Raw genomic sequence first — 15653 nt, 5'->3', positions numbered from 1 at the left:
GGCCAAGGCAGGTGGATCACAAGGTCAGGAGTTCGAGACCAGCCTGGCCAACATGGTGAAACCCCATCTCTACTAAAAAGAAATACAAAAATTAGCTGGGCATGGTGGCGGGTCCCTGTAATCCCAGCTATTTGGGAGGCTGAGGCAGAACTGCTTGAAACCGGAAGGCAGAGGTTGCAGTAAGCGGAGATCCCGCCACTGCACTCCAGCCTCAGCAAAAGAGCAAAACTCCGTCTCAAAATAAATAAATAAATAAATAAAAAATAACTCCTAGTGGGCTCTGAACAAGGCAAAATAAATTTTTTTTATTTTGATACTACAATAAATTGTGAATGATTTGACCACACTTTTTCTCTGCTTTCCCCCCTCTTAGGATTTTGTGTAAGCTTATTAGAAAACAGATATTTACAGGTAAATAAAAGTAAATCAAGCAAATGAAAGCAAAAGAAGAAGACAATTTGTAGGGAAGAAGTTTTCCTACTTTGTTTTTTGTTTAAAGAATAGATCCTAGTTTAATTATTTGAAATAATAGGTATGTGAAGAAAGTCTGAATGATAAAAAGAATGTAGGCAGTTTTAGAAAAGCTATTTCTTGAAAGGTGCTTTTTACTTTAAATCAATCCTTGCCCTAGCTTATATCTATTTAAATCTTTTCTAAAATCACATAAAGTAGGGATGTCAACTTAATGTGGAAAAACATTCCATTCTTTATAAATGACAACATCATCACCATCCTCAGAAAGTAGTAAGCCATGCATCACTCATTTATTCAGAAAAGCCCTTAGCTTTTGGGGTTTTGTTTATTCTTTTGAACCAAGTAGGCTTTTTTTCATTAACTAAAACAAGATTTTCTGGCAGTAGAGAATAGAAATAACACACGTAATAGTAACTGTGAGTCTTTGGTAGACAAGTGTTAAAATTAATATTTCATATTTAGTACTTTATCTCCTAATATTTAGTCATCCATTCTCTTTTACAAGTGGCTTTCACAGTCAACTGTTTGGTGATAGACACTGATAGATTGTACTAGTGTTTTTGAGGTATTTCAGAGTGTAAACTTGCAATAGTAAGGAGAAATGCTTATTTTCAAACTGGTTAAATAATCTTTTTAAGGAATGAACTCGAGGAAATTTAGTTATCATACATTTAGATTATGATTTCTACCTAGGTTTAAGTGCTTGCTTTTTTATTCTTATGATTTCTTTCCAGAAAAAAAGAAATGGACATAATATTTAAGAAAACTATACTTTATATTTAAAGTACAGTTTACAAAGCATTTTCTTACAGTTCATTTAGCAGGTATTATTTATATTATTGTTGTTATTACTATCATTATCTCCACTCTGTAAGTGAACTGATTGAGCTGAAAGCAGGCATTGGGCTAGTACAGACCCAGAAGTAGATATTGGGGCTTCCTATTGATTGTTTTCATTGTTGTTGTTGTTGTTGTTGTTGTTGTTGTTGTAGTTTTTGAGATGGAGTTTTGCCCTGTCACCCAGGCTGGAGTGCAGTGGTACAATCTCGGCCCACTGCAACCTCCGCCTCCCGAGTTCAAGCGATTCTCCTGCCTCATCCTCCCAAGTAGCTGGGATTACAAGCACCCATCACCATGCCCAGCTAATTTTTGTATTTTTAGCAGAGACAGGGTTTCACCATGTTGGCCAGGCTGGTCTCGAACTCTTGACCTCAAGTGATCCACCCACCTCGGCCTTTCAAAGTGCTGGGATTACAGGCATGAGCCACCATGCCCTGCCCCATTGATTGTTTATTGCTTTTTCCATAGTGCATTTTTTATATCAATCATTCTTAGAATAATTAACCCATAATTTTTTATATTTCCTTGTCTTTCTTAAAACATTATATCTTTTACATGGCTCCACAACTGAGATAACAAATTCATTTATCTTCTGTGTTTTTAGGGTAGGGCTCTACTTCACTGGGCCTGTGATCGAGGACATAAGGAACTAGTCACAGTGTTGCTGCAACATAGAGCTGACATTAACTGTCAGGTAAGAGTGATAAAGAAGAGCTTTTATTTTTTAAATTGAAGTATAATTCGCATAACATAAAATTTACCAGATTAACTCTTTTGAAATGTGCAATTCAGTGGCGTTTAGTACATTTCACAATGTTGTGTAATCATTGCTACTATATAGTTCCGTAATACTGTTGTCACCGCAAAAGAAAACCCTGTTCCCACTAAGCAGTCACTTTTTAACATTTTTTTTATTTCTCCCCTTGCCCCAGACCTTGGCAACCACTAATCTGCTTTCTGTTTCTATAGATTTGCCTATTCTGGATATTTTATATAAATGGGAATCTTAAAATTTATGGTTGTGTTTGACTTCTTTTACTTAGCATAAAGTTTTGAAGGTGTATCTATATTGTAACATGTAACAATACCTCATTCCTTTTTATGGCTGAATTTTTTGGATATCCCAAATGTTGTTTATCCATTAATCAATTGATGGGCAGCTTGAGTTGTTTCTGTCTTTTGGCAGTTGTGAATAATGCCACTGTGAACATTTGTGTCCTTGTATTTTTATTTGAATACCTGTTGTCAGTTCTTTTGGTTGTAGACATAGGAGTGGAGTTACTGGGTCATATGGTAATTTGATGTTTAACTTTTTGAGCAACTGACAAACTGTTTTCCATAGGAGCTACACCATTTTTCATGCCCAGCAGCTGTGTATGATGCTTCCAGTTTCACCACATCCTCACCAATACTTGTTATTTTTGCTTTTTTAAAAATAACTATTTTAGTGGGTATGAAGTGATATCTCATCATGGTATAATTTTGATTTACATTTCCCTAATGACTAATGATATGGAGTACCTTTTCATACGCTTGTTGACTATTTGCATATCTTTTCTGGAGAAATGTCTGTTTAAGTCTTTGCCCATTTTAAAGTGATTTGTCTTTTTGTTGTTGAGTTGTAGGAGTGCTTTATATATTCTGGATACTAGACCCTTATCAGATACATGATTTGCAAGTGTCTTCTCCCTTTTTGTGGGTTTTCTCTTTATTTTCTTGATGGTGTCTTTTGATGCACAGGTTGTAAATTTTGATGAACTCTATCATTTGTTTTCTCTTTTTTCCTTTTGTTTATGGTGTCATACTTTAGAAACCATTGCCAAATCCAAGGTCATTAAAATTTACCCCTTTCCAGAACCTAAGGTTTTGGTTTTCTTCCTCTTTTTTATTGTGGTAAAATACTCATAGCATAAAATTTACCATTTTAACAATTTTAAGTGTATAGTTATGTGGCATTAAATACATTTGTATTGTGTGTGCCCATCACCAGCACCCATCTCCAGAACTTTTTCATCTCCCCCAACTGAAACTCTAACCATTAAACACTAATTTCCCATTCCTCCATTCCCTCAGCCCCTGGCAACTACCATTCTACTTTCTATTTCTGTGAATTTGACTACTCTAGGTACCTCATATAAGTGGAATCATACAATATTTGTCCCTTTTTGACTGGCTTATTTCACTCAGCATAACATCATCAAGGTTCATCCATGTGGTTGCATGTGTCAAAATTTCCTTCCCTTTTAAAGCCGAATATTATTTGTATGTATTTACCATACTTTGTTTATTCCAATATCTGTGGCACTTGGTTTGCTTTTACCTTTTGGCGATTATGAATAAGGATGCTGTGAACATGGGTGTACAAATGTCTGTTCAAGTCCCTGCTTTCACTTCTTTTGAGTATATACCCTAGAAATAGAATAGCTTGATCATATGATAATTCTACGTTTAATTTTTTGAGGAATTGCCATATTGTTTCCCACAGTAGCTGCACCATTTTACATTCCCACCAGTAATACACAGATATTCAAATTTCTCCGCATCCTTGTCCACACTTGTTGTTTTCTGTGCTTTTGACAATAGACATCCTAATGACTGATTTGGGTACCTTTTATTTCATTTTCTTGCCTAATTGCTCCGGCTGGGCCTTTCAGTACTAGGTTGAATAGAAGTGGTAACATAGGCATCTTTGTCTTTTTACACTTAGGTTCTGGAAAAAGCTAAAAATAAAAATAAAAAAAAATCACACAACACTGGTGTTACCATAAATCATGGTAATATCATCATTAAATTTGACTACCAAATCTTCTGGTCTTTATCTTCAGAATACCTCCTATTTCACAGAGAAAGTAGAATAAATGTTTATCACCAACCCAGATCTCAGCCAGTAGCTCCAGACACACATATCTCTTCTTTGATATCCCTCAGACACTTCAAACGCACAATATCTAACACTAAACACCAGCATCCTTCAACAGTCCACCCTTCCCCGCCCACTACTCACCATAATTGGCACCATCATCCAACCAGTTCCCAGGAGAATGTATCATAATTTAGTTAACTAGTACCATGTAAATGGACTGTAACAATTTATACTTCCACCAGCAGTGTGTGAGAGAATTCCTGTTTCTCTAGCCATGCCAAATAGTTTATCATAACACTTTTTGTTCTCTGCCTGTTTGATGAATGATGAATGGTATATTATATTTTTAATATAGCTTTTCCTCAGTTTCCCATTGTATTGATGGTATTTTTCTCCTTACAGGAACTTTTTATATAGTAAGGAAAATTTGCACTTTCTTTGTGATATAGTTGTTTAAATTTTCCCCCACATTTTCTTCTAGTACTTTCATTATTTCGTGGTTTTTATCAACTCATCTATAATTGATATATGTATCCTATGTATGTAATAGGAATTTTACTTTTGTCCAGATGGTGCCAACTTTATTTTTGTCCAGATGACTAGCCAGTTCCAGTAATGTTTATGGAATAATTGGTATCTTTTCTATAGCAATTTGAACTGTCTTACCATAGTCTCAATTCTTTTATGTATTTCAGTCTATCTTGGGGGCTTGTTCTTCCATTCCATTGCTCTGGTTTTCTGTTCATGTATTTGTGCTACACTGTTTTAAGTATTATAGCTTCAAAATATATTTTTAAATCCGGTTGGGCAAATTCCTTCACTACTCATTCAAAATACTTTCTACTATTTTTGCTCATTTATTTTTCTGTGTAAATTTCAAAGTCATTTTTTCAACATCCAGCTTTCCCCAACCACTATTACCACTAAATTAAAACAACAAAGAAAAAAAAAAAAACTGGCCAGATGTGATGGCTCATGCCTGTAATTCTAGCACTTTAGGGGGCTGAGTCAGGAGGATCACTTGAGGCCAGGAGTTTGAGACCAGCCTGGGCAACATAGTGAGACCCCATCTCCACACATTTTTTTTTAATTAGATGTAGTGGTGGGTGCCTGTAGTCCTAACTACTCTGGAGGCTGTGGTGGGAGGATCACTTGAGCCCAGGAGTTTGAGGTTACAGTGAACTATGATTGTGCCACTGCATTCCATCCTGGGTGACAGAGCATAAGACCCTGTCTCTAAAAAACAACAAAACAGTTTTTTGAACCAAACACATTGTTTGGAGGTATTGTATATGGAAATATCCCCAAGTTAGGCATTGCCTGAGGTTTTTGCCTTGCGGATTTCTTACGTTCTATTTGTTTGGATAGTGTGAGACAAACAATCCAAAAACTATAGGTGGCTTTATAGAACATTCTTTACTAAACACTAAGCTTTAATGCAAAGTAAAAGTTCCGTGTAGGTTTTTAGGACGGATCTGTTAGAATTATATGCCTGCCACAATGTTTTCCTTTGTATTCACATGACCATTGTGTGTAGCCACCAGCTTTGATTCTCTTTTGACAGTCATAATCTATACAATCTAACTTTAGTTAATGGGTTGCTTTTGGCTTTTCCAGTTTGAGTTGCTAACATGCTTCGAAGTCAGAGGGCTTCTGGAGATTAGCGCTCAGAATAACTCTTTTGCTTGTAATATCTTCTTTGGTTTTGTTATTGAAAACGCTTTTCAAATATAGACAATACAAACATAATAAATGGAAGGAAAGGTTCATCTCCTCATGACTCTATATTTCTTAAACAACATTATTATTGACTGGCCTATTGGTTGCCAAAAAGGAAAATCAATTTTATTGGAAGTATTTGCTTGGCCACAGATCTTGGTACTAACTCAGCACAGACAGTCTGATGTTATCAGCTATCTGAAGACTAATTTTTACCATTAGTCTGAAACGAAGCAGTAATTAGAGATATGTCAAAGTCTACTCTGTGTTTTCCTGTCATTTTTTACCCTTCAGTCTATCTCATACATTTTTTTTTATACTGCGGCTTCTATGTTGTGTGACTGTGATGGAATTGAAGCTTGAAATTTTATTTCTAAGAAAGATGCTGTATAGATTTCATTTGTTATCTGACAGTATTATGGATACAGTTTTGTCTCTTCCACTGCTTGGTATTGATTTTTAATTCCACTCTGGAAGTTAGGTTCTTGCCACATTTGGGATTAGGATATGGCTTACGGGCGTGCGCACGCACACACACACACCCTTCTCTGACTTCTTGAGTAACTTTGATTTTTCAAGCCCTGAAGAAAGATTAAAACTACCCCCCAAAGCACATTAAAAGGTATTTGAATGCTGAACATTTATTGGTAGGAGGAGTAGGAGCATCTGTGGTGTATGTGTCAGTACTGTGTACTGGTGTTATGCAGTTTAAAAGAAAAACATTTTGTTTTAAGTGGTACAGAAATGTGTAAAGGCTTTATGACATATAAATTGTATAAGCTTACGGTTTATAGACTAGCCCTGCGCCCTCTCGGTGAATACCTTGTGCCTGTCTGTGTCTTATAAAAGATTTCAAAAACATGAGAAAAGTATAAAGCAATAAATAAAACCATCTGTAATCCCATTACATAGTATGTATCTGTGTGGGGAGGGGTGGGTTGGGTAGGATATAACAAGTATTTAGTGTTTACTATGTGTCAAGAATTTTATGTGCATTGTCTCTTTTAGTCATTGCATCAATGCCATAATGTGCATATATTATGCTCTACATTTTACTGGTGAAGAAGCAGGAGCCTAAAGAAGTTATAGAGCTAGTGAAGGCCAAAGCCTAGATTTGAATATTCTGACTCCAAAGCCCAAGCTCTTAACCTATTCACTGTAAAATTTGTATATATTTCATTTTCATCTTTTTTCTACTTACATGTATATATTTTAAAGCTATTTAGTATAATATTGTACATAAAGTTTTTTCTTCATTATTTAAAATTATTAAGTCTAAAATAAATTCAGTGAGGTAATGTACACAAATCTTAAGGATACAGCACAGTGTGTTTTACATACATACACACACACACACACACACATCTATACACATACACATACCCTTGTGTAACTACCACCTATTTCAAATTAGAACATTCCTGGAACCTCTAGAAAGTTTGTTCCCTAAAGTTACTTCCTGTCAATATGCATCCTTCACTTCCACCCTGAGGTGACTATTATTCTGAACTTCTGTGACCCCTGATTAGTTCTAACTCTTCTTAAAATTCAAATATTTGGAATAATAAAGTATATATACTTTTGGATTAAGCTTATTATGTTCAACATAACATTTGTGAGAGTCATTCATGTTACATGTATCAATTGTTCCCTTATTGCTGTATAACATTTCATTGCGTGTATATACCAGGATTTTATCTGTTCTGTTGATGGACATTTAGGTGTCTTTTTTTTCCTTCAGTGTCTGGCTATTATGAATAAAGGGGCTGTGAGCTTTCTTGAATGTAGACATATACACATATATTTTCATTCCTCTTAGGTGTATACCTAGGAGTAGAATTGCTGGGTCATAGCATAGCTCTATGTTTAACCTTTTGAGGAACTGCTTGTTGTTTTTCAGAGAGGCTGCACCATTTTATATTCTCAGCAGTGATGTATGAGAGTTCTAGTTTCTCCACATCCTTGCCAATACTTGTTATCATCTGTCTTGTTGATTATAGCCACCCTAAGGTATGGGAAGTAGCATCTCACTGTGGTTTTGATTTTCATTTCCTTGATGGTTAATGATATTGAGCATCTTTTCATGTACTCATTGGTCATTTGTATATGTTCATTGTGGAAATTTCTATTCAGATTTTGTGCTTATTTTTAAAATTGTGTTATTTGTCTCTTTATTATTGAGTTATAAGAGTTATATGTTTTGGATACAAGTCTCGTTTCAGATGTGTGATTTGCAGATACTTTCTTCAGTTCATTGAATTGTGTTTTTACTTGCTTGATAGTGTCCTTTAAAACATAAAAGTTTTAAATTTTTATGATCTTATTTATTTTTGTTGTTGTTGTTTGTGGTTTTAAGAAATCATTGTCTAATCAAAGATCATGATGATTAAGCCTTTTTCTTCTAAGAATTTTATAGTGTTATCTCTTACATTGAAGTCTTTGATTATTTTGAGTTAATTGGGTAGAGTGTGAAGTAGGGGTCTAACTTCATTCTTTTACATATGGATATCCAGTTGTTTCACCACCATTATTGAAAAGACTGTTCTTTCCCCCATTAAGTCATTGTAGCACTCTTGTCAAAAATAAATTTGTTTATAAATATGAGGGTTTATTTCTAGATTCTTAATTTTATTCCATTGATCAGTATGTCTTTCCTTATGTTAATACCACACAGTCTTGATTACTATGGCTTTGTAGTTAAGTTTTGAAATTGAGAAGTGTTATTCTTCCGCCTTTTTTCAAAGTTGTTTTGGCTATTCTGGGCCCCGTGAATTTCCATGTGAATTTTAGGATCAGTGTGTTCATTTTTGCTAAAAAGGCAGTGAAGATTTTAATAAGAATTGTGTGAACTCCCATTCACAATTGTTTCAAAGAGAATAAAATACCTAGGAATACAACTTACAAGGGACGTGAAGGACCTCTTCAAGTAGAACTACAAACCACTGCTCGATGAAATAAAAGAGGATACAAACAAATGGAAGAACATTCCATGCTCATGGGTAGGAAGAATCAATATTGTGAAAATGGCCATACTGCCCAAGGTAATTTATAGATTCAATGCCATCCCCATCAAGCTACCAATGACTTTCTTCACAGAATTGGGAAAACCTACTTTAAAGTTCATATGGAACCAAAAAAGAGCCTGCATCTCCAAGTCAATCCTAAGCCAAAAGAACAAAGCTGGAGGCATCACACTACCTGACTTCAAACTATACTACAAGGCTACAGTAACCAAAACAGCATGGCACTGGTACCAAAACAGAGATATAGATCAATGGAACAGAACAGAGCCCTCAGAAATAATGCCGCGTATCTACAACTATCTGATCTTTGACAAACCTGAGAAAAACAAGCAATGGGGAAAGGATTCCCTATTTAATAAATGGTGCTGGGAAAACTGGCTAGCCATATGTAGAAAGCTGAAACTGGATCCCTTCCTTACACCTTCTACAAAAATTAATTCAAGGTGGATTAAAGACTTAAACGTTAGACCTAAAACCATAAAAACCCTAGAAGAAAACCTAGGCATTACCATTCAGGACATAGGCATGGGCAAGAACTTCATGTCTAAAACACCAAAAGCAATGGCAACAAAAGCCAGAATTGACAAATAGGATCTAATTAAACTAAAGAGCTTCTGCACAGCAAAAGAAACTACTATCAGAGTGAACAGGCAACCTACAAAATGGGAGAAAATTTTCGCAACCTACTCATCTGACAAAGGGCTAATATCCAGAATCTACAATGAACTCAAACCAATTTACAAGAAAAAAACAAACAACCCCATCAAAAAGTGGGCAAAGGACATGAACAGACACTTCTCAAAAGAAGTCATTTATGCAGCCAAAAAACACATGAAAAAATGCTCACCATCACTGGCCATCAGAGAAATGCAAATCAAAACCACAATGAGATACCATCTCACACCAGTTAGAATGGCGATCATTAAAAAATCAGGAAACAACAGGTGCTAGAGAGGATGTGGAGAAATAGGAACACTTTTACACTGTTGGTGGGACTTTAAACTAGTTCAACCATTGTGGAAGTCAGTGTGGCAATTCCTCAGGGATCTAGAACTAGAAATACCATTTGACCCAGCCATCCCATTACTGGGTATATACCCAAAGGAGTATAAATCATGCTGCTATAAAGACACATGCACACGTATGTTTATTGCAGCACTATTCACAATAGCAAAGACTTGGAACCAACCCAAATGTCCAACAATGATAGACTGGATTAAGAAAATGTGGCACATATACACCCTGGAATACTATGCAGCCATAAAAAATGATGAATTCATGTTCTTTGTAGGGACATGGATGAAATTGGAAATCATCATTCTCAGTAAACTATCACAAGGACTAAAAACCAAACTCCGCATGTTCTCACTCATAGGTGGGAATTGAACAATGAGAACGCATGGACACAGGAAGGGGACATCACACTCTGGGGCCTGTTGTGGGCGGGGGAGCGGGAAGGGATAACATTAGGAGATATACCTAATGCTAAATGACGAGTCAATGGGTGCAGCACACCAACATGGCACATGTATACATATGAAACTAACCTGCACGTTGTGCACATGTACCCTAAAACTTAAAGTATAATAATAAAAAAAAATTGCATTGAATCTATAGATCAGCTTGGGGAATAGTACCATCTTAAAATATTAAGTCCATGAATACATGATGCCTTCCCATTTATTTAGGTCTTATTTAATTTCTTTCATTTGATGTTTTATAGTTTTCAGTGTACAAGTCTTACACTTCTTTTGTTAAATTTATTACTAAGTATTTTATGTTTTTAATGTTATAAATGAAATTGTTTTCTTCATTTCCTTTTCTGATTGTTCATTTTTAATGTATAGAGATACAATTAATTTTTGGCCAGGCATGATGGGTCACACCTGTAATCCCAGCACTTTGGAAGGCCAAGGCAGGAGGATCACTTGAGGCCAGGAGTTTGAGACTGGCCTGGGCAACATAGTGACTCTGTATTGCTACAAAAATTAAAAAAAAAAAAATTGATCTGTGTTTATTGATCTGTATCCTGCATTCTTTCTGAATGCTTCTATTAGTTCTGACAGTTTGTTAGTGGATTCCTTATAATTTTTATATACAAGATTATATCATTGGCAAATAGAGATAGTTGTATTAGCTGCATAAAACCAGATGGGAAATACTCCTTTATTCTCTGAAAGAGTGCATTTAAGATTAGTATTAACTATTCTTTAATGCTTAGATGAGGGGTCTTCAGTTCCTGATAAGACTTATTTCTGCCTGTTCTTCCTATTCAGTTCAGATTTAAAACCCTGGACATACACAGCAAATAAACATAAGAAGACTAAAGGGTTAGAAGAAGAGAGCTGACTGACTAGGGACCTCAAGAATTGAGAAATGACCCTGTGGTGATTTCTCTGGGTTTTCTTTTTCTTTTTTTTTTTTTTTTTGAGACGGAGTCTCGCTCTGTCACCCAGGCTGGAGTGCCGTGGCGCGATCTTGGCTCACTGCAAGCTCCGCCTCCTGGGTTCACGCCATTCTCCTGCCTCAGCCTCCCGAGTAGCTGGGACTACAGGTGCCCACCATCACGCCCGGCTAATTTTTTTGTATTTTTAGTAGAGACGGGGTTTCATCATGTTAACCAGGATGGTCTCAATCTCCTGACCTTGTGATCTGCCCGCCTCGGCCTCCCAAAGTGGTGGGATTACAGGTGTGAGCCACCGTGCCCGGCTTCTCTGGGTTTTCTTTTTGTTTCTTTATAAGCTGAAGTGGGCTCTGGAGAAGCCCACAACCCAGAAATACCAATGGGTGCAGATAAGAAAAGCCTGTTATCTCTTGCCAAAGGACAGGAAAAGGGGCAATCTAAAAGAACAGAACTTTTCAACAACAATACCACCCTACCCCAGCCAAATACATGGAGGAAGAATATGCCACCCCCTTGCTTGGAGGCTGAAAGGGAAGCCTACACATCCTCTGGCTGGTGGTAGCAAGCAGTGCTTCTCTTCCCCATCAAGGTGTTATCAACAGATGCTGAATGAGTACCCTGAGCTTTCAGTTCCTGCCCAGTGGTAGCAGGGAGTGATTTCCTTTCCTCACCAGGGTGGTGCCAGAAGAGGCCAAATGGGAAGCCTAGACTTTCATCTCCTGCCCAGAGGTAGCAGATGATACTCCCCTTCTGTCGTAAGTGTGGTGTCAGTGGAGACCAAGTGGTAAGCTTGGATATCCATCACCTCCCACCCTGGAATTAAAAGCAATAATAAGGTAGTACTTCTCCCCTTCCCAAATAGGGAGTGATGGTGTGGGGGAGAATTTTAGAGAGGAGGGAGCTGGAGAAAGCAATGCTTTAAACTTGTATGTAGAGTCCTGGAAAGAACCCAGAGTGACTCGTACATTATACTGACCAAAATTAACATGACAGAAGGGTTGAGAACTGAACTACAGTGTGGAATAGTGCCTACATTTTCACATTGACCTCTAAGTAGCACACAAGCAAGGCAGACCCAAATAGTACTGTAAGGGCTCTGAAAATGAAATTATTATTGGAACTACAACTCCTAAAAGTAGATCAGGAGCTGCACAAGAAACCCAAATAGAGAAACTGCCTGCTAAACTAGAAGATTTAAATAGAATACAGATACGCATACTCAAAACTGAAAATTACTCATCATACCAAGAACCTGGGAAATCACAACTCGAATGGTAAAAGGAGGTCAATATACGCCAAACAGTGAGATGGTGAAATTATCTGACAAAGATTTTAGAGCAGTCATCATAAAAATGTTTCAATGAGTAGTTACAAACATTCTTGAAACAAGTGGAAAAAACAGAAAATCTCAGCAAAGGAATAAGAGATCTAAAAAGGAACTAAATAGAAATTATAGAATTGCAAATATAATAGCTGAAATAAAAATTCACTGGATGCACTCAATACTAGATGGAAATGATAAAAAGATCAGTGAACTTAAAGCAATAGAAAGTATATAATTTGAATAACAGAGAGAAGTAGATGGAAAAGAAATTAACAGAGGCTCCAGGACTGTGGGACAATTGTAAAAGATCTAACTTTTTTTGTCATCAGAGTGCTAGAAGGAGAGGAGAAAGAGTGTGGAACTACAAGAAATATTCGAAGAGTTACTGGCTGAAAACTTCCCAAATTTGATAAAAGGCATAAACCTATAGATTTGAGAAGCTGAGAGAACCATAGACAGATATACCTGACAAAATCCACAGCAAGACACATTAAAATCAAGCTTTGGAAAATTAATGAGAAAAAAACAACAACAACATTGAAAGCAGTTAGAAGGAAAAAGTACACTGCAGATGCTCCTCAACTTATGATGGGCTTACATCCTGATAAACCCATCATAAGTTGAAAATATCATAAGTTGAAAATACACTTAATACACCTAACTTATCTCATAGCTTAACTACTGAATGCGGTTTTTGTTTGTTTTTTGAGACAGTGTCTAGCTCTGTCGCCCAGGCTGGAGTGCAGTGGTGCAATCTTGGCTCACTGCAACCTCTGCCACTTGGGTTCAAGCTATTCTCCAACCTCAGCCTCTAGAGTAGCTGGGGCTACAGGTACGCACCACCATGCCTGGCTAATTTTTGTATTTTTAGTAGAGACAGGGTTTCACCATGTTGGCCAGGCTGGCCTCAAACTTCTGACCTCAAGTGGTCCACCCGCCTCGGCCTCCCAAAGTGCTGGGATTACAGGTGTGAGCCATTGCGCCCAGCCTTTTCTATCCTTTTACTTGTACCCTATGTGTATGTGTTAGTCTACTTGGTCCGCTGTAACAAAATACACAGACTGAATAGCATAAACAACAGACATTTATTCCCACAGTTCTGGAGGTTCTAAATCAAAGATAAAGGCGCCAACAGGGTTGATTTCTGGTGAGGCCTCTCAACTTGGCTTGTAGATAGCCACCATCTTGCTGGGTCCTCACGGGCCTTTCCTCTGTGCTCATATATGGAGAGATCTCTAGTGTCTCTCTCTCTTCTTGTAAGGGAACCAGCCCTATCACGTTAAGGCCCCACCTTTATAACCTAATTTGACCTTAATTAGCTCTTTAAAGGCCCTATTTCTAAATATAGTCATATTGAGTGTTAGGGCTTCAACATAGGAATTGGGTGTGGGGGAGCACAATTTAGTCCATAACACTGTATCTTTATATTTAAGGCATGTCTCTTATAAACAGTGTGTAGTTGGGTTTTGGTCTTTATCTAGTATGATAATCTTTGTCTTTTAATTGCAGTGTTTAATTCATTTACATTTAATGTAATTACTGGTATGGTTGTGTTTAAGTCTACCAGCTTGCTATTTGTTTTCTGTTTGTCCCATCTGCTCTGTTTCTCTATTTTTTTCTTTCCTGACTTCTTTTGTGTTTATAAGTATTTTGTTGCATGTATAGAATGTGTAATGATCAAGTCAGGGTATTTGGGGTATCCATAACCTGGAGAACATTTCAGGTTCTCTCTTCTAACTGCCTTGAAATATACAATGCGTTGTTGCTAACTGTAGTAAAAGCCCTACTCTGCTATGAAACATTATACCTTCTATCTAACTGTATGTTTATACCTATTGATCAAACTCTTTTCATCACTACCTCCCACCAGCACACTTTTTCCAGCCTCTGGTATCAGTCCTTCTACCCACTACCTTCATGAGATCAACTTTTTTAGCTCCTACATATGAATGAGAACATGTAAAATTCGTCTTTCTGTGTCTGGCTTATTTCACTTGACATAAGGGCCTCCAGTTCTATCCACATTGCTGCAAATGTCATGATTTCATTCTTCTTCATAGCTGACTAGTATTCCATTGTGTATGCATACCACATTTTCTTTATCCATTCATCTGTAGATGGACACTTCAGTTGATTCCATATCTTTGGTATTGTGAATAGTGCTACAGTGAACATCAAAGTGCAGGTGTACCTTTGATACACTTATTTCTTTTCCTTTAGATAAATACCCAGTAGTGCGATTGCTGAAGTGTATGTTAGTTCTGTTTTTAGTTTTTTATGAAATCTTCATACTGTTGCCCCATAGTGGCTGTACTAATTTACATTCTCACTAACCATGTATAAGAGTTTTTCTCTGCATCCTTGCCAGCATCTGTTAATTTTTAATCTTTTAATAATAACCATTCTAACTGGGATAAGATGGTATCTCGTGGTCTTGATTTACATTTCCCTGATGATTAGTGATGTTAAGCATTTCTTTCATGTAGCTGTTAGCTATTTGTTTGTCTACTTTTGAGAAATGTCTATTCACATCCTTTACTCATTTTTTAATAGGATTATTATTTTTTTAACTATTGAATGGTTTGAGTTTCTTGTATATTCTGGATATTAGTCCCTTGTCAGATAATTTGCAGATATTTCTTCACATTCTATAGGTTGACTCTTTACTCTTTTGATTGTTTGCTGTGCAGAAGCTTTGTAGTTTAATATAGTCTCATTTAGCTATTTTTGTTTTTTTTTTTTAATCTCTGCTTTCAAAGTCTTAGCCATAAAACCATTGTCTAGACCAAGTTCCCTATGTTTTCATCTAGTAGTTTTATAGTTGCAGGCCTTGTATTTAGGTATTTGATTCATCTTGAGTTGATTTTTATATATGGTGAGAGATGGGGATCCAGTTTATTCCCTTGCATATGGATATCCAGTTTTTCCAGCACCATTTATTGAAAAGGATGGCCTTCCCTCAATGTATATTCTTGGCATCTTTGTTGAGTATCAGTTGACTCTAAA

General features: G+C 36.6%; 1 protein-coding gene across 7 annotated transcripts in view, besides 2 other annotated features; it reads left to right on the top strand.

Moving 5' to 3' along the window:
- Positions 1–15653, top strand: part of ACBD6 (acyl-CoA binding domain containing 6) — a 232925-nt gene that overhangs the window by 103054 nt on the left and 114218 nt on the right. For all 7 annotated transcript variants that reach the window (XM_047432083.1, XM_047432080.1, XM_047432082.1 and 4 more), the window contains exon 6: positions 1919–2008. In XM_047432083.1, the coding sequence (XP_047288039.1) occupies positions 1919–2008 (90 nt within the window). The remainder of the gene's footprint in view (positions 1–1918; positions 2009–15653) is intronic.
- Positions 12075–12134: an enhancer, noted in NCBI's record as "active region_2162". NCBI's record gives its function as "activates an Ori minimal core promoter by ATAC-STARR-seq in GM12878 lymphoblastoid cells {active_cell/tissue: GM12878}" and the evidence as "EXISTENCE:reporter gene assay evidence [ECO:0000049][PMID:35858748]".
- Positions 12246–12325: an enhancer, noted in NCBI's record as "active region_2161". NCBI's record gives its function as "activates an Ori minimal core promoter by ATAC-STARR-seq in GM12878 lymphoblastoid cells {active_cell/tissue: GM12878}" and the evidence as "EXISTENCE:reporter gene assay evidence [ECO:0000049][PMID:35858748]".

Source organism: Homo sapiens, chromosome 1 (assembly GCF_000001405.40).
Source record: "Homo sapiens chromosome 1, GRCh38.p14 Primary Assembly".
Taxonomy (NCBI): Eukaryota; Metazoa; Chordata; class Mammalia; order Primates; family Hominidae; genus Homo; species Homo sapiens.
This window is presented reverse-complemented; position numbering and strand designations above follow the sequence as displayed.